At 37.5% G+C, this 12,077-nt stretch overlaps 1 protein-coding gene and 1 long non-coding RNA gene across 17 annotated transcripts in view, besides 1 other annotated feature; one reads left to right on the forward strand and one right to left on the reverse strand.

Annotated features, from left to right (window-relative positions):
- The window catches only part of ITGA6 (integrin subunit alpha 6), a 79,124-nt gene that overhangs the window by 38,716 nt on the left and 28,331 nt on the right, over positions 1-12,077 (forward strand). For 8 of the 10 annotated variants that reach the window (XM_017004005.2, XM_017004006.2, XM_047444221.1 and 5 more), the window contains exons 3-9: positions 1,430-1,509; positions 3,074-3,329; positions 4,923-5,054; positions 8,004-8,214; positions 8,878-9,071; positions 9,546-9,634; positions 10,344-10,462. In XM_017004005.2, coding sequence (XP_016859494.1) covers positions 1,465-1,509; positions 3,074-3,329; positions 4,923-5,054; positions 8,004-8,214; positions 8,878-9,071; positions 9,546-9,634; positions 10,344-10,462 — 1,046 coding nt within the window. In that variant the 5' untranslated portion in view covers positions 1,430-1,464. Of the gene's footprint in view, positions 1-1,429; positions 1,510-3,073; positions 3,330-4,922; positions 5,055-6,722; positions 6,840-8,003; positions 8,215-8,877; positions 9,072-9,545; positions 9,635-10,343; positions 10,463-12,077 lie in introns of all 10 variants that reach the window. The other 2 variants (NM_001394928.1, NM_001316306.2) reach the window with 2 other exon arrangements.
- The window catches only part of PDK1-AS1 (PDK1 and ITGA6 antisense RNA 1), a 92,199-nt gene that overhangs the window by 1,786 nt on the left and 78,336 nt on the right, over positions 1-12,077 (reverse strand). The window lies entirely within an intron of this gene.
- Positions 212-381: an enhancer, noted in NCBI's record as "experimental_56026 CRE fragment used in MPRA reporter constructs". NCBI's record gives its function as "activates a minimal promoter by MPRAs in K562 erythroleukemia cells, with activity observed for both the introgressed and non-introgressed 2:173331076 variant alleles {active_cell/tissue: K562}" and the evidence as "EXISTENCE:reporter gene assay evidence [ECO:0000049][PMID:34662402]".

Here is a 12,077-nt window from a genome sequence, read left to right on the forward strand (position 1 = left end):
TAAATATCAGACCCCTTTGGAATGAGAGCTGGCTAACAGAGATAAAGTTTTCCCTCCTGTCTCAGATAGAGACTTGTTTTGTTAAGGGCTCTGGATAGGTAGAAGATACCATGAGGTAGGCATGTTGACATCCAGTGTACCTGGCTTCTTGTAGGTTGAGCAGAGCAATTAGTGTACTGAGAAGCTCTAGCCAAACCTCGTTTGATATGTTCGGTCTAAGTAGATTTGCAGATTCGTGTCTATGTTCTTCTCTTGCTTCTTCATCTTTTAGAAATAACATTTGTTGGCCAGGCGTCGGTGGCTCACACCTGTAATCCTAGCATTTTGGGAGGCCGAGTTGGGTGGATCATTTGAGGTCAGGAGTTCAAGACCAGCCTGGCCAACATGGTGAAACCCCATCTCTACTAAAAATACAAAAATTAGCCAGGCGTGGTGGTGTACGCCTGTAGTCCTAGCTACTTAGGAGGCTGAGGCGTGAGAATTGTTTGAACCTGGGAGGCAGAGGCTGCAGTGAGCCAAAATCGTGCCACTACACTCCAGCCTGGGTGACAGAGCAAGATACCATCTCAAGAAAAGAAATAACATGTGTTCTTTTATTAGAAACTAATATGTGTTAATTTTAAGAAGCTGGTAAAATACACAGACCTATGAAGAATAAAAAAACCCACTGGCAATCTCAGTATCTAGACTTATTTTTTAACATTTTGGCATTTTTCCTTCTGTCTAAAGTTGTTTAATGTTTTTGTAATGATTCAAGATTAAAACCTGTGTCTGTATTGCTACTTATGGAGGAGTGCAAAATTTGGATATAGGTCACACAGTGGGTTTAAATTGATACTGAAATGAGCACCTGGTGGTGTTTGTGGTCCCCGTCTCTCTGACTAACAGTAACTCTCCTGTTTGGCATTGATACATTGTCAGCTACAAGATCCTAAAGTAAATCTGAGTCTTTTTCTTCCATCTCCAGTAAAGAAGAGAACATTTAATGCTGTTAAATAAAAAAATTGGGGAGTATATAGAGAAGTACCCATTTTTTTTGTTAGTTTGGATGGTAGCTGCAGTTTGGAATACTAGATTTTACATTGTTGCCTTAAGAGATGTATTTTGGAGGGCTCCCTTAGTCTTACAGTTTCACTTACCTTCTGCATTCAGGACCCTAGGTATCAAGAGAGGGCAAAGGGTATTGTTGGACAAAATAGGCAACTATATAGAGCTAAGTACTTTATGTTTCAAATGTTTGAAAGATTCCAAAAACCACATCTCTGTTTCCTTGAGATGACAAGTAATTTTTCTGGATTGAGTAACTGAATTTATTGAGTAGCTAGACTCAGAGTCGAGGCCATTTGGAAACAGTTGCTTGTATTTTTGTTCAGTGATGGTTTCTAGCATGTGCAGTCACTTGGAAGGCTAACTATGCTCCTTTCTACAGCTGACCCCACGTCAGAAAGCAAGGAAGATCAGTGGATGGGGGTCACCGTCCAGAGCCAAGGTCCAGGGGGCAAGGTCGTGGTAAGTGTAGAGACACATGTTCATCCTATACTGTTGGACTGCTGGTTATGTGCCAGCACCAGGCTTACAGCAGGGGACAGCAGGGAGCATACATTCTAGCGAACTTACTGCTTTAAAGCAGGAATGGATGTCAAAAAGAAATCAGACTGGGCGTGGTGGCTCATGCCTGTAATCTCAATACTTTGTGAGGCCAAGGCGGGCGGATCACCTGAGGTCAGGGGTTTGAGACCAGCCTGACCAATATGATGAAACCCCATCTCTACTAAAAATACAAAAATTAGCTGGGCGTAGTGGCATGCGCCTGTAATCCCAGCTACTTGGGAGACTGAGACAGGAGAATCGCTTGAACCTGGGAGGTGGAGGTTGCAAGAGCAAAACTCCATCTCAAAAAAAAGAAAAAAAAAGAAGAAGTAATCACGTAATCAAAGCCTTATTTCTCCTGTGATTCCTGATATACTTAGAAGCAATCACACAACCTACTTTTCTTTAGAACTTTCAGATTTAAATAACTTATTAAAGAACCTTTACTAAATATTCCTACAACTCTAGATGGTATTAAAAACAAAACAAAACTAGACATCATTTCTGTCCTTGGAATTTTATAGCTTTATAGATAAGTTAGTAAAAATATGGGCATGGTCTTAGAAAGTAATAACCAGGTAGTTTTAACCTCTTGTTATTTATTCTGAGTTTTTTCAAATAGAAGGGATAGCAAAGAAAAGAGGGTTTGTTAGGTGGATTGGGCTAGATGGTCATGGTAAGGCCTTCCTGGTTGGAATATGATCTTTTTGTCTCCTTCAAAATCTGGTTGCTGTAACGAAATTTATACAGAATTTTGAGAAAAAAAATTTAGTGAACATTGAGTTTTGATATTTAAGGAATGACATTTATGGAAAATTGATTTGATACTGTATTTTTAGGCTGTGTTTACATGGAGGTTAGCCATTCATACCCTGTAGAAATTATAGAGATTATTTCTGTCTCTTCTGGCCTTGTAATTCTCTCTGCCTTTTAAAAGTAGGCATATTTTGGGAAATAATCTCAGAGCTCAGGGTGTAAGTTAGGACTGATTACAAGGAAATAGTGTGGGGAAAAGGAAATGTCTTTGTTTTAGCTGTGTTTGTTTGATCCCTATGAAAACAGGTCCATGATTTCTCTCCTCTAGAACATAATTACCCACTTTCACACTGATGTTCTGAAGGTTTATACAGCCACTAAAAGCCAATTTGAATTAAGAAAATGAAATAAGGTGTTTCTCTTTGTTTATGTGACAGGTAAATTTACAAATAAATTGCCTATGGATACAGATTGTCATTCAATTTTGGATTGGAGGATTATTCTGAGTGAGAATAAGGCACATTCTAGTTTCTATATGTCTTCATAATGGTCTCCTTAGTGCCACTTTGGGGAATATTTGCTGGTCTGGGATCCGGTCCCAAGATGAGGACATGCTTAATCATCCTCTTTAGAATTAACCTCTGTATTGACCATTTTATTCATATGTAATTTTTTAAAAACAAGGTTTATAGACAAGAATGGGCTACTTTCTTCCATCTGCTTGCAGACATGTGCTCACCGATATGAAAAAAGGCAGCATGTTAATACGAAGCAGGAATCCCGAGACATCTTTGGGCGGTGTTATGTCCTGAGTCAGAATCTCAGGATTGAAGACGATATGGATGGGGGAGATTGGAGCTTTTGTGATGGGCGATTGAGAGGCCATGAGAAATTTGGCTCTTGCCAGCAAGGTGTAGCAGCTACTTTTACTAAAGACTTTCATTACATTGTATTTGGAGCCCCGGGTACTTATAACTGGAAAGGTATGACCTTTGTATTTATAGAAATAGAGATTAGTTCCCCTAATTTCTGTAATATGATTTAGTACATTTTGAGCTAAAATGTGTTAGAAGACATTCGTATATTATAAAAGTTGGGTAGGATATTAAAAATCTCTAAATGATATGATTTTTAAAAGCTAATAATAGTGGAATATATGTTTTGGTGTTGACATTCTTTTCCCCTCTACCAGTACTTTACTTTAATTCAGGTAGTTAACTTTTTTTTAGCAGGAATATAATAATTAACATTAGTATTTTTTGCTGTTTTAGATTTGTGCGACTCATGAAGCTGGAAGTGTTAATTTTAAGTTAGTGATCTGAAAACTTAGGAGGATTAAATAATGGTATATACAAATAACAGTGTATTAACATGGACATTAATAACAGAGTATTAATATGGACATTTCTCTCTGTATATGTTATTTTCAAAGGCCATGCTTTGCTAATAATTCAGTAGAGTTAGAAGGGCAGATTACAGACGAATTGGGGAATTTTGAGGTATAATTTCAGATATGTGAGGAAAAGTCGTTTGATTATTGTGATGTGAGTAAATGGAGATGTAGAGAGGTAAAGAAGAAAATGGCCCACATTTTTTGACTGTGTATGTATAGAAAATGCTATATCATAAAAGACAACCTAACTCTCATCCATGATGAAGAGAACTGCATCTGATTTGGAAATAAGCCATTTTTGAGAAATGTATTAATAATAAGTCACATAACACTTTCACTCATCAGGGAAAACTTAGGAAAATGGTCCCTTTTCCATTCAACAATTTGTTTTAATTGTGGTTCTAAATGACTCTTGAACACCTTTCTCTGTGTGCAATCTTCAAGGGTAATTTCCCTTTGCCCCCACCTCCACCCCAACAGAATCTTCATGTACAGTATTTCCCAGGTTATTTTGACCTAACTGAAATAACATGTTGAATTTAGTTTTATTTTAGCATGAATAAATGCTTTATATAGTAAAACAAAACAAAAATATCCACCAATTATGTATATTTTAATTCATGGAAAATATGGTTTACCTGCTTTATAAACCTGACCTAAAATGTCGCCATTTAAAGCCATATAGTGATTTGGGCTTACTATATGAAAACTTATGTTTTAAATTACTAATTGTAAGAATTTTTAAAAGATGAAATCTTGGTTAAAGTGATCTAAAGAAAAGATCAATATGTCTCACTTTTACACTGCAAAAAAAAGACAAATTGAGGCAGGATTACAGAGAATGTAAAATATATATATCAAGTTCATGTCATTTAAAAATTGGTTCTCTGTAGATTTTGTTAACTAAGCAAACCTTCCATTTTTCATCTAGTTTCATGGCATTATAAAGATAGTTCATGAAAATGCATGGGACAGTTTTTAATGACTCAAACAAATTTCTTTCCCATAAAAATTTACACAAATGTATTTTACAACCATAAAAGTCATCTCTGTCCTTCCTTTTTTTCCTCCAAATTTTTTTTCCTGTAACTAGTGATAGCATGGGGGATGTTTATTAGGAACCATTTATTTTCTTTTGTTTCATCTTCATTTTTTTGTTGTTTTTACCATTTCATTCCTTTAGGGATTGTTCGTGTAGAGCAAAAGAATAACACTTTTTTTGACATGAACATCTTTGAAGATGGGCCTTATGAAGTTGGTGGAGAGACTGAGCATGATGAAAGTCTCGTTCCTGTTCCTGCTAACAGTTACTTAGGTAGGAGCAGGCACAGATGGCTGCCTTTGCCCACCTTCTCAGATACCTTGTGTGAAACTCCCTCGCAGGGCCTATGGCCCCTGGACTTCTAGGCTGAGAAGAGGCCAGGTGGGGCCGGGCCACTTTTGCTGGAATTTGATAAGCTTGGTGATCTAGAGGCGTTAAACCGACTGATGCCTGGGATCCTTTCCTTCTGACTGGGGCTCCCTCAAAGGGGGAAGAAACCTCTTATCACCTAAAATCATCCGTCCTCCCTCCTGCTCAGAAGTCTGTCTCTTGAGCTAATGGCAGCCTCCGTAACCTGAAACAGGCCGCTCATGCAGCCATGAAAACATGCATGGGTGTTCACAGTAAGCTGAGATCTTTGTTCAGTGCCTCCTTCCAGAGATACTCTTAAGAACTGCATTTAATAAAGTTACTCTTAAGTGGCAAGTCAAGACCTCCAGGTCCTCCCTCTGTGATTGTGGTTCTCCAAGGATTAGCCCTGCTTCTGGATTGGGACCCCATGTCACAGGGCCCCACAGATGGATAAAAGCTTCCCAGCGGAGGTTGAGCAGGACTGCTAAAACGGCTTTCAGGACACCCAGACTGTGTCTAAGGGCCAATTCTTAACTCCTAAGGCTTGTTTGCATGACTAATGGGTGTCCTAAGTTATTCATGTACATTATGGTAATTACACAAAGGCTTTTAAAAGCTTTAATTCTTGGTATGAGTTGACAAAAAGAATAATTACTGTGCATTTCTTGGAAAAAATGTAAAAAAAAGTCTAAACCCAAATAGTAACCTGTTTAAAAAAAAAAAAAGAAAGTGAAGAAAAGTACCCAGATGTTAGGATATTACTGGAAGAATGGAAAGTAAAAAACGAAAAAACAGGTATAGATACATGAATAATTTCAAGCAATGTGCTAGTAAACACGCACTAATAAGTTGTTCAGGCCGGGCCTGGTGGCTCACGCCTATAATCCCAACACTTCGGGAGGCTGAGGCAGGCGGATTACTTGAGGCCAGGAGTTCAAGACCAGCCTGGCCAATGCAGCAAAACCCCTTCTCTACTAAAAATACAAAAATATTAGCCAGGCGTGGTGGTACACATCTGTAGTCCCAGCTACTCAGGAGCCTGAGGTAGGAGAATCATTTGAGCCTGGGAGGTTGAGGTTGCAGTAAGCTGTGATTGCAGCACTGCCCTCCAGTCTGGGCAACAGAGCAGGACCTTACCTCAGAATGTTTCATTTAGGGATTACTTATGATTAAAATACTTGATTGTAATTGCACTGGCCAAGAAACCAATACTTTGGTCTTTAAGATGGATGGCTGTGGATTTTATAAATTTACTTGCTGTCAGAACATTTGAAAATATGAAGCATTTTTTCTCAAACACATTTGCCACTTTTAGAATGGATTTCCTCAAAAGTGAATGCCTGAGAAAGAAATCAAATTCATATTGTTACATTCGGTTTGTCTGTACTGTGTGGAATCTGTCACTTCAAAAGATCAGAGGGTTTGGGGGAACAAAACGATCTGCTTGAGGTTTTGGAAGCTGGCAATGAGAGCAGCTTGCCGGATGCAGTGGTGGCCTCCTCATCCAGCGAGAACAGCAGTGGCTGTCCTGCCTCTTACCAAGCATAATTACTTTTTCTTCAATTTCTTCCGTCCCGTGCATGCGTACAGGCCTGCTGTTTTTGACCAGCGTTTCCTATACAGATCCTGATCAGTTTGTTTATAAAACACGGCCTCCCCGGGAGCAGCCTGACACATTCCCTGATGTGATGATGAATAGCTACCTAGGTTTGTGACCTCTGCGACGACAAATAAATTGTCTTGGTTGTGGTCATTAAATTTTTTTTTTTGATCCATACAGAGCATAAATCTTTTTATGCCCTATTTTGTTTCCATTGAAGCACACACAAAAAGCATGCCATGGCTGGGGCTCTGTGGCCAGATGGTTGTAAGAGCTGGACTCCATATTGCCCTCTAATCTGGTGGCTCATGTTTTTCAATTCACTTCACAATTTGAGAACTGCAACGGTAGTGGTGAAGCTTTTCATAAGTAAAACCCAATAAAGGGGGTGAGCTTATATTATTCTGCATCTGCCTCACCTTTCTATAGAAACATTTACTTAATTTGAATGGTTTTGATATGGGCACTTCTATTTGCTTTTCACCAGATCTGTTATTTGTAATCTGACATCCTACCTGATGCTTTATAATGGGTGTGTCCTAATGTTTTCTGCCCTCTGAACAAGTATATAACTGATACCAATGACAACTTCCTCACCTCTGTTGTTTATACTAGGTTCTCAAATACCATGTATCATCAGTCATTGTTTTGTCTGCATGTTTGTGTCTGAGAACTAAGTTGGTCCAAAACAATGAAATGCTATCTATGGTGTATTAATGATGTTAGCATTTGTTTTTGTCTGATTACCAAAGAGTTGATGCCTCTTACCAAGCTTAATTACTTTTTCTTCAATTTTATTTTATTCCTGTAAAAATACTGGTCATTAAATTACAGCAGAACCCTGTAACATGCACTCAATTATGCTTCCAGTCAGGTTATATATTCTCTGTGTATATGATGTAACATAACCAAATTATTCCTGGACAATTCAGTATCTAGCTTGATCTCCTTTTACCATAGTTCCAATATTAAAATAGGGTGGAAATTGATTCTTAAGATGTATGAATACTTCAAAATTCAAGTTATACATAGGTGCTTTTAGTTAAAAGTCTTAATATCCATAGAAAGCAGTAAATTAGCTAGCCCCAGGACTTTGTCCTTGTGTCACATCTGAACTCTGTCACTCATATTACGAATGTGATAGCTGGTGGGAGGGTCAAGAGGAGAGAGGGGTGGGAAGCCAGAGGAAGAGGTAATGATGGAGTTACCAATGTCATAGGCCTAAAATATATGGATTGATGTGAGGGGCTCTATATATTTTGTTTTTCTAGGTTTTTCTTTGGACTCAGGGAAAGGTATTGTTTCTAAAGATGAGATCACTTTTGTATCTGGTGCTCCCAGAGCCAATCACAGTGGAGCCGTGGTTTTGCTGAAGAGAGACATGAAGTCTGCACATCTCCTCCCTGAGCACATATTCGATGGAGAAGGTCTGGCCTCTTCATTTGGCTATGATGTGGCGGTGGTGGACCTCAACAAGGATGGGTGAGAAAGCCTCAGGTTATATTATGCTGCAAATCATTTCTGCTTTGACTAGCTTCTATACGACTGGAGAAGAGCCGTCCTTTCAGGTTCATTGACGTAAAGAATATTTTTATTGCCGCATTTTTACCAGCCTATCTTTATCATTTCTATGATGGCAGCAGACAGACATTCATATCCCTCCCCAGCGTATAGGATTATATTTTTGATTTTCAGTTTTTACTTATATGTTGGGATCATGAGTCTATGAGAATTAAAATTTGAAAAAAATTGACTCAGAAAACACTTGCATGATTCTGTTCTGTGGTTTCATATGGGGCTGATGGAGCATCAGCTCCCGTTGAAAACAGGAATTGGTGATAAAGTAAAAAACAGATATGTGGCTGTTGGTGCCAGTTGGGGGGGTTAGAACAGTGAGGTCTTAATGGGAGTCCTGCTGTACTATGGTTCTAACTCGAGAAATTGGCTTTGAGTTCTTACCCTTAGTATTTTTCTTGGGGCGTTTATTATAGGCTACCTTGGTTTTTAAAAAATGTTATAATTGAGTCATAAATTCTGGAGTTGAGGGCCTTTCTATTATATGTCTTTGTATCCTTAGTACCTAGACTGGTGTTGCTGGTATGTTAGCTGTTGGTTCACGGCTCTTTCCCCTCATTATGTTTTTAGGTGGCAAGATATAGTTATTGGAGCCCCACAGTATTTTGATAGAGATGGAGAAGTTGGAGGTGCAGTGTATGTCTACATGAACCAGCAAGGCAGATGGAATAATGTGAAGCCAATTCGTCTTAATGGAACCAAAGATTCTATGTTTGGCATTGCAGTAAAAAATATTGGAGATATTAATCAAGATGGCTACCCAGGTAGATAATAGATTATGAAATGGCTATGATTTATAGATTATTTGATTGTTTAAATAATAGCGCTGCTGGGCACAGTGGCTCACGCCTGTAATCCCAGCACTTTGGGAGGCTGAGGTGGGCGGATCACCTGAGGTCGGGAGTTCGAGACCAGCCTGACCAACATGGAGAAACTAAAAATACAAATTAACTGGGTGTGGTGGCACATGCCTGTAATACCAGCTACTCCCAGCTTTGGAAAGCTGAGGCAGGAGAATTGCTTGAACCCGGGAGGCAGTGGTTGCGGTGAGCCAAGATTGCGCCATTGCACTCCAGCCTGGGCAACAGGAGCGAAACTCCATCTCAAAAAAAACAAAAAAAAACCCCGAAAAAGCCAAACAAATAAATAATAGTGCTTGTGTCATCTTACTTTAAAACATTTTACTAGAGTGTTTCTAAAGCGTTTGTTAAAATGTTAAAATGTGATGTTGTCAACAGATATTGCAGTTGGAGCTCCGTATGATGACTTGGGAAAGGTTTTTATCTATCATGGATCTGCAAATGGAATAAATACCAAACCAACACAGGTAACCAAATAACCGGGATTTCTACAGCTAGAGTCTCAACTTTTTGCCCTATAATAAAATATTTAGGTTTAAGTGACTTTTCACACAAATCTTATTTTATTTACAAGTCCACAATAGTATAAATTTTTTAAAAATGTATTACTAGAAGATACCTTCAAAATAAATATATAAATGTAATGACTTGCTTGTTCTAATTGTAAAATTTCTTAGATAAGTTAGGAATCAAGGTAATCCAAAGCAAATGAATGTTATTCTACCCTGACGGCATTAAGATAAGAGGAAATACGATATATTCTCTTTAGTAGCATACTAAATAGAGATGAAATTGGTCAAACAAAATAAATGACTGTAACTACATGGAGAATGTAGACACCAAAAATTAAAAATGTCTTTTGAGAAAAATAAGACTTGTAGGGAAGGTAGGGAGATTTGGTTTGAAATGGCCTGATTGACTTAATACAATAAACAAGCTCATCAGAAATGGGCTCTTTTCTGCTTTGAGATACTATGTAAATCGGATGACTTTTATGAAATGAAATGTATGAAGTGTTAGATCATATAGAAATTTATGACTTGTATATAATATAATTTACTTATAAGTGAACTCTCAAATTTCAGTTCAAAAGAAACTTGTGTGTCTTTTTCAAAGCATTGTTAAGAAGCTCATGGTGATAACCTAATGTCCATTCGGATGCCCTGTGTATTTCAGGTTCTCAAGGGTATATCACCTTATTTTGGATATTCAATTGCTGGAAACATGGACCTTGATCGAAATTCCTACCCTGATGTTGCTGTTGGTTCCCTCTCAGATTCAGTAACTATTTTCAGGTCTGTTATCTATGATTTTAGTGTTAAGCATGTTCTATAATCAGGTTATACTAAAATGTTGACCTTTTGGACTGAAATTTGTCATACCTATACTTCAAAGGTTTATATGAATTGTGAAGCTATTTCTTTTTCTTTTGAAGTTAGTAAACAATGTAATAACAACCTATTTTCTAAAATCTTTTAAAGTATCTGAGGAAAACATAGATCCAAGTTAGAATTTTTACTTCATATATTTTTAAAACCTTAATTTTGATGATGAAAAAAACAAAACACATATAAAATGTGACAGTACAAAGAACATACAGAAGGAAACCCCCTATAATTCACCATGCATTATTAAACTCCAAGATCTTGATTTCTATTTTATTTTCTGTGATTGGACCATGTATATTTAACAAAATTAAGACCATAATTGTGCATAATTTTGTAACCTGCTTTTGTCTCTTTAGGATACATAGTAGACTTTTCCTATGTCACTGAGTACTTTTCCAAAATGAAGTTAACAACTGTCTGTGAGGCATCTTCTGACAGGTTCAGAGCTTATTTAACCAACTGCCTTGCTCTCACTGGATGGTTACGTTGCTTCGCAATTTTTTTTTTTGCTCCCATGATATAAAAAGCTGTGGAAAACATTCTTACTTTTGTTTATATCCTTGATTATTTCCTTATTATAAATTCCTGGATGTGAAATTGATATATGTGCTTCAAGACTTTTGATTCGGTTTCGCCAAGATGACCTCCCAAAATGGTGCGACATTTCCCATCCGTGGTGTTTGAGTCTCCCTTTAACCAGCGCTTTCATCACTGCTGGAAATCACCATTAAAAATTGGAGGCTTTTTTTGGTTTGTTTTTTAATTTTCAAAAAGTAGCAGATTTATTTTTTTTAAAGTTAATAATATAGAATTATAGAAAATCCAGTACATTATTCCCATCTTCCACAAAACTTGTGTGCATTTCTCTACTTTTAGGGTATCATCAAAAGGCTACACTGTAACTTCTGCTGTCTAATCTGGTTTTTATTTAATCTTGGGCTATCTCTCCTTGTCAATACAATAGATGACTTAACTTTAGTCAGTTAAATGTTTGCCCCTGTCTATGTGTAACTGATATTTTAATATCCTTACTTTCCTGTCCTCATAAGTAGGTTGACTGTCAACCCTGTACACTTGTTCCCTCTTTACTTGCAGATAGTGTGAAAGTAGAATTCAACAACCCTTTGATAAGAAGAGGAGTAACTTCCCCTTATTTTACAAATGAGGAAACTGAGGCCCAGGACTTGGCTTGAGCTTTTAAGGCTGGAGCCTGAGAGGACAGAATGTAGCACCTAAATCTTCCTGACTTGAATCCTGTGCATTTTTTCTACTAAATTGTACTAGCACTTCAGGGTAGTTAGTAAATAAACACCAATTTTAAACATGAGGCAGCCAAACTAATAAGACTTATTTTCTATGTTAAAAGACACAGTTTTCATAATTCATGTATATTTTGCCCTCAAAATTGTGTGTTGTATGTTTAAAAAACAAAATATGTTCTAGGCAGAAATGTCTGTTAAAATTCTACAGTATGTAAAATACTATATCTGTGGCAACTGTGCCTTTTAAATATGCTCTCAAA

The sequence above is a fragment of the Homo sapiens genome, chromosome 2, assembly GCF_000001405.40.
Source record: "Homo sapiens chromosome 2, GRCh38.p14 Primary Assembly".
NCBI lineage: Eukaryota > Metazoa > Chordata > Mammalia > Primates > Hominidae > Homo > Homo sapiens.